Source organism: Homo sapiens, chromosome 4 (assembly GCF_000001405.40).
Source record: "Homo sapiens chromosome 4, GRCh38.p14 Primary Assembly".
Lineage (NCBI taxonomy): Eukaryota > Metazoa > Chordata > Mammalia > Primates > Hominidae > Homo > Homo sapiens.
The window spans coordinates 52,507,928-52,512,909 of record NC_000004.12 but is presented as its reverse complement, the minus strand read 5'-3'; the positions used below and the strand labels follow the sequence as shown (position 1 = coordinate 52,512,909).

Below are 4,982 nucleotides of genomic sequence, written 5' to 3'. Positions count from 1 at the left end.
AGGCGTGAGCCACCATGCCCAGCCTACAAAAAAAGTTAAAAAAAATTAGCTGTGTGATGCCATGTACCTGTAGTCCCAGATGCTCAGGAGGCTGAGGCGGGAGGATGGCTTGAGCCCAGAAGATCAAAGTTGCCATGTGCCATGATGGCGCCACTTCACTTCAGCCTGGGCAACTGAACAAGACCCTGTACCCCTGCAACCCACCCCCCACCACAAGAAATTCCTACTTTCATTCAAACTAATTTGTGCATTTCTTGCAACCAAACAAACTTTCACTAGAATTACTTGGATATTCTGCTACTCCTATGTGAAACAGAAATTATAAACTGTGCCCTGGTATTCAAGAGGGATGTTTGGATGTGATAAGTACAACTTGTCACAGAAGCTGAGCATACACATATGTGGGCAGGACACAGTTAAAGAGCAGCAAGGGGCAGCCAGCGAATTGCTGAGGGAGATAAATAAAGAACGCTAGTGCCTAGAATAGATATTTTTTTTCCTGCTGGAAACCAGGTGTAATTGTCCATTCATGAGATCACAGCAATGTGCTTTCTAAAACCTGGAGGAAAGGCTGCTCTCAGTGCTTAGTAAAATCCACATACAGTGGGTATGATTGATGTCTCCCAGAGTAAAGCAAGAAACTGCCTGTAAACGAGGACTTGAAGAATTTGTGAACAGCTAAAATGCCAACCTGAATGCAATTTGTCATTAGAAAGAGGAAATCAAATCCTTCCTTTTCCAAATCAAATTGACACAAGTCAAACTGTGTCCTTTTTGGATAAACAGTAGTTAAACAGAAAAAGCAGGGTCACCTTGGAGCATTCAAAGTTGGTAGTGCCAACCTGGCACTGTCTGGATGAGCGATGCTACTCTGGAAATCACCAGCTTTCTATGCCTGGAGAGTGGCTCTGCTGAGACAGGGATAGTGACCTGGATGAACACCTCTACAACTCTACAACTGTCCACCACCCTCCTTTGCTCTAATGCTACACTCCCATCACTTTTTTTTTAAGACAGGGTCTTGCTCTGTTGCCCAGGCTGGGGTGCAGTGGTGTGATCATGGCTCATTGAAGCCTCGACCTCCTGGGCTTAAGCTATCCTTCCACCTCAGCCTCCAGAGTAGCTGAGACCACAGGCACATGCCACCATGTCCGGCTAACTTTCTGATTTTTTGTAGAGATGGGGTTTCACCATGTTGCCCAGGCTGGTCTCTAATTTCTAGCCCCAAGTGATCCACCTGCCTCGGCCTCCCAAAGTGCTGGGATTACAGGCGTGAGCCACTGTCCCTGGCCAATTTGATAATATATCTTCTTCAGTATTTTGCTCGTTAGAAGACAATGTCTCAGAAAGGAGTAGGGGTATTTTAGCCACTAGAAAGAAATATCCTTTACTGAAAAGTAACATATTTTCTGTCTGGTTTGTACATTTCAATGAGCTTGAATGGCAAAAGTTCAGCATTCCTGTTTTCAGCCAACTCTGGTGCACTAATAAAGCTAAGTGTAAGATCCTGGCTGGTAGCCTACCACAAATCAACTTCACGGTTGCTCCTAAGTCATCTATATTACCATAGAAGTTTATTTTAAAAACCATCTCTCCATTGCCATAGGAATAATCTTGGGGGCCATAATTTCTAAAGGCATTTACACAAACTTTGCAGAAGGTACTTAAGAAATGTGTTTACATTGGAAGCATTCATATCTTCAGAATTTCCAGCATTTCACTTGTGATAGAGCACACAGGAACAGAAATAGAACGTGAGAAATAAGGTTGTGTATTAGGTTGCTAGGGCTGCCATCACAAAATACCACAGCCTCAGTGGCTTAAACAACAGGCATTTATTTTCTCACAGTTTTTGTTGCAGGAAGGTCTTGAATTCAGAGGTTTCCAAACTTTTGGCTTTCCTGGGCCACATTGGAAGAAGAAGAATTATCTTGGGCCACACATAAAATACACTAACGATAGCTGATGAGCTAAAAAAAAAAAAATCTCAAAAAAATGTCCTAATGTTTTAAGAAAGTTTATCAATTTGTGTTTGGCCACATTCAAAGCCATCCTGGGCCACATGCAGCCAGTGGGCTGTGGGTTGGACAAGCTTGTTGTAGATCAAGGTGCCAGCAGGGTTGGCTTCCTCTGAGGCTTCTATCCTGGATTCTGTAGATGGCTACCCTTGATTTACAGATGGCTCGCCTCTTGCTGCCTCTTCACATGGTCTTCCCTCTGTGCATGCAGGACTCTTCTTCTTCTAAGGATGCCAGTCATATTGGGTTTGCCCCCCTTCCTATTTAAAAAACAGATTTACGGGGTACAAGTGCAATTTTGTTACATGGATATACTGTGGAGTGGTGAAGTCTGGGCTTTTAGTGTAACCATCACCTGAATAGTGTACATTGTATCCATTAGGTAACTTCTCATTCCTCACCTCTCTCCCACTTTCCCACTTTTGGAGTCTCCAGTGTTTGTTATTCCACTCTGTAGGTCCATGTGGACCCATTGTTTAGCTCCTGCTTATAAATGACAACATGTAGTATTTGACTCTCTGTTTCTAAGTTTTTTCACTTAATATAGTGGCCTCCATTTCCATCCATTTTGCTGTAAAAGACATGATTTCATTCTTTTTTATGGCTGAGTCGTATTCATATAAATATATATACACACACCACATTTTCTTTATCCAGTCATCCATTAATAGACACTTAGGCTGATTCCATATCTTTGCTATTATAAATGGTGCTATCATAAACACATGAGTGCAGATATCTTTTTAAACTTTTAAAAGTTTTTAAATTTTCTTCATGTCAGACAGGTAATATTCCAACATTGCCACAAGGTTCGAGGGTGACACATCTCACACATGTACGTGAACAACCAATCATCATGCTCATGAACTACAAAAGGATCAGGTATCTTTTTTATATAATTATTTCTTCTCCTTAGGTTAGATACCTAGTAGTGGGATTGCTGGATCAAATAGTAGTTCTAGTTTCAGTTCTTTGATAAATCTCCATACTGTTTTCCATACAGGTTGTACTAATTTACATTCCCACCAACAGTGTATAAGCATTCCCTTTTCTCTGCATCCTTGCCAACATTTATTGATTTTGACTTTTTAATAATAGCCATTCTGACTGGTGTAAGATGATATCTCATTGTGGTGTTAATTTGCATTTGCCTGATGATTAGTGATGTTGAGCATTTTTTCATATGTTTGTTAACTGTTGGTATATCTTCTTTTGGAAAACGTTCATGTCCTTTGCCCATTAAATTTTTTTTTAAAAAATTTTGAGTTCTGTGGGTACATAAGTGTATATATTTATGGAGTACATGAGATGTTTTGATACAGGAATGTAATGTGTAATAATCACATCATAGAGAATGTGGTGTCCATCCCCTCAAACATTTATCCTTTGTGTTACAGACAATCCAATTATGCTCTTTTAATTATTTTAAATGTATAATTAAATTATTATTGATTATAGTCATCCTGTTGTGTTATCAAGTACTAGGTCTTATTCATTCTTTTTTGTTTGTTCGTTTTGAGACAGGGTCTCACTCTGTTGCCCAGGCTGGAGTGCAGTGGGCTAGATCACAGCTTACTGCAGCTTTGACTTCCCTGGGTTCTGGTGATCCTTCCACCTCAGCCTCCTGAGTAGCTAGGACCACAGGCATAAGCCACCACACCCAGTTAGTTTTTGTATTTTTTGTAAAGATGGGGTCTCACTATGTTGCCCAGGCTGTTCACAAGCCTTGCCCAAGCTAGGTTCAAGTGATCCTCCTGCCTCAGCCTCCCAAAGGGCTAGGATTATAGGCACAAGCCACTGCGCCTGGCCTTATTCATTCTTCTAACTATTTTTTTTTCTTATCCATTAACTATCCCCACCTCTACCCCTCCCTCCCACTACCCTTCCCTTTGCTCACTTTTTAATGGGATTGTTTGTTTTTCCTTGCTGAGCTGTTTGAATTCCGTGTAGATTCTCGCTATTAGTCCTTTGTCAGGTGCACAGTTTGCAAATATTTTCACCCATTCTGTAGGTTGTCTGTTTACTCTGTTGATTATTTCTTTTGAGGTATAGAAGCTTTTCAGTTTCATTTTGTCCCATTTGTCAATTTTTGCTTTTGTTGCATTTGCTTTGTCATAAATTCTTAGTCATAAATTCTTTGCCAAGGCCAATGTTCAGAAGAGCTTTTCCTAGGTGTTTCTTCTAGGATTTTTATAGTTTCAGGTCTTACATTTAAGTCTTTAATTCATCTTGAGTTAATTTTTGTATATAGTGAGAGATATGGATTCAGGTTCATTCTTCCCATGTGGATATCTGATTTTCCCAACATAGGGTCCCACTCTATTGTTTTCATTCAATGTAATTACCTCTTTAAAGGCCCTGTTTCCAAATAATATCATATTCTCATGTATTGGAGGTTAGGATGTCAACATATGAATTTGGGTAGGGGACAAAATTCAGCCTAAAATAAGTGATGAAATCTATCCTGTCAAGGCAGTAAGACTTCCTTTAATCTATCTGTTGTTTTGGTGAGTTAGAGGAAAGAAGATTTTCTGGGCTTTGGGTTTTTTTTAGTCCAACATTAGCATCTGGACTGGGCAAGCAAGGTTAGCTTCTGCACTGTAGAATGTCTCCAAACAAAGACTGTTCTTACAGAAAGCATTATGAAAATGCAACTTAATTATTAGGTTGTATGGACAGAGGCACAGCACAATCCAAGATACACTATTGTTTTAATCTCAAAACCAACAGATAGGTAATGAACATAAATATCCCAAGCAATGCAGGGGTATTGGAATGGTATTGGCGTTATGATGGTGATTGTTTACAAAGAAGGGCTTTTCTGTGGGGAATGGCTAATCAGCAGGCCCAGCAAAGGAGAATTAGTGCTTCCTGTGCTGAGGCATCCCAGAATTCTGGGGATTCTGCCAGAGTCCTGCTGGTTCTCAGACAAGGTCATTGGACTTCTTAGGGGAACTTACCAAA

The 4,982-nt window shown here is 40.3% G+C and overlaps 1 non-coding gene across 1 annotated transcript; it reads right to left on the bottom strand.

Moving 5' to 3' along the window:
* Positions 1-2,793: 2,793 nt before the first annotated feature.
* LOC124900897 (small nucleolar RNA U13) lies at positions 2,794-2,897 on the bottom strand. The gene has a single exon (XR_007058539.1). It is a non-coding gene; the product is annotated as a small nucleolar RNA U13 (small nucleolar RNA).
* Positions 2,898-4,982: the final 2,085 nt, after the last annotated feature.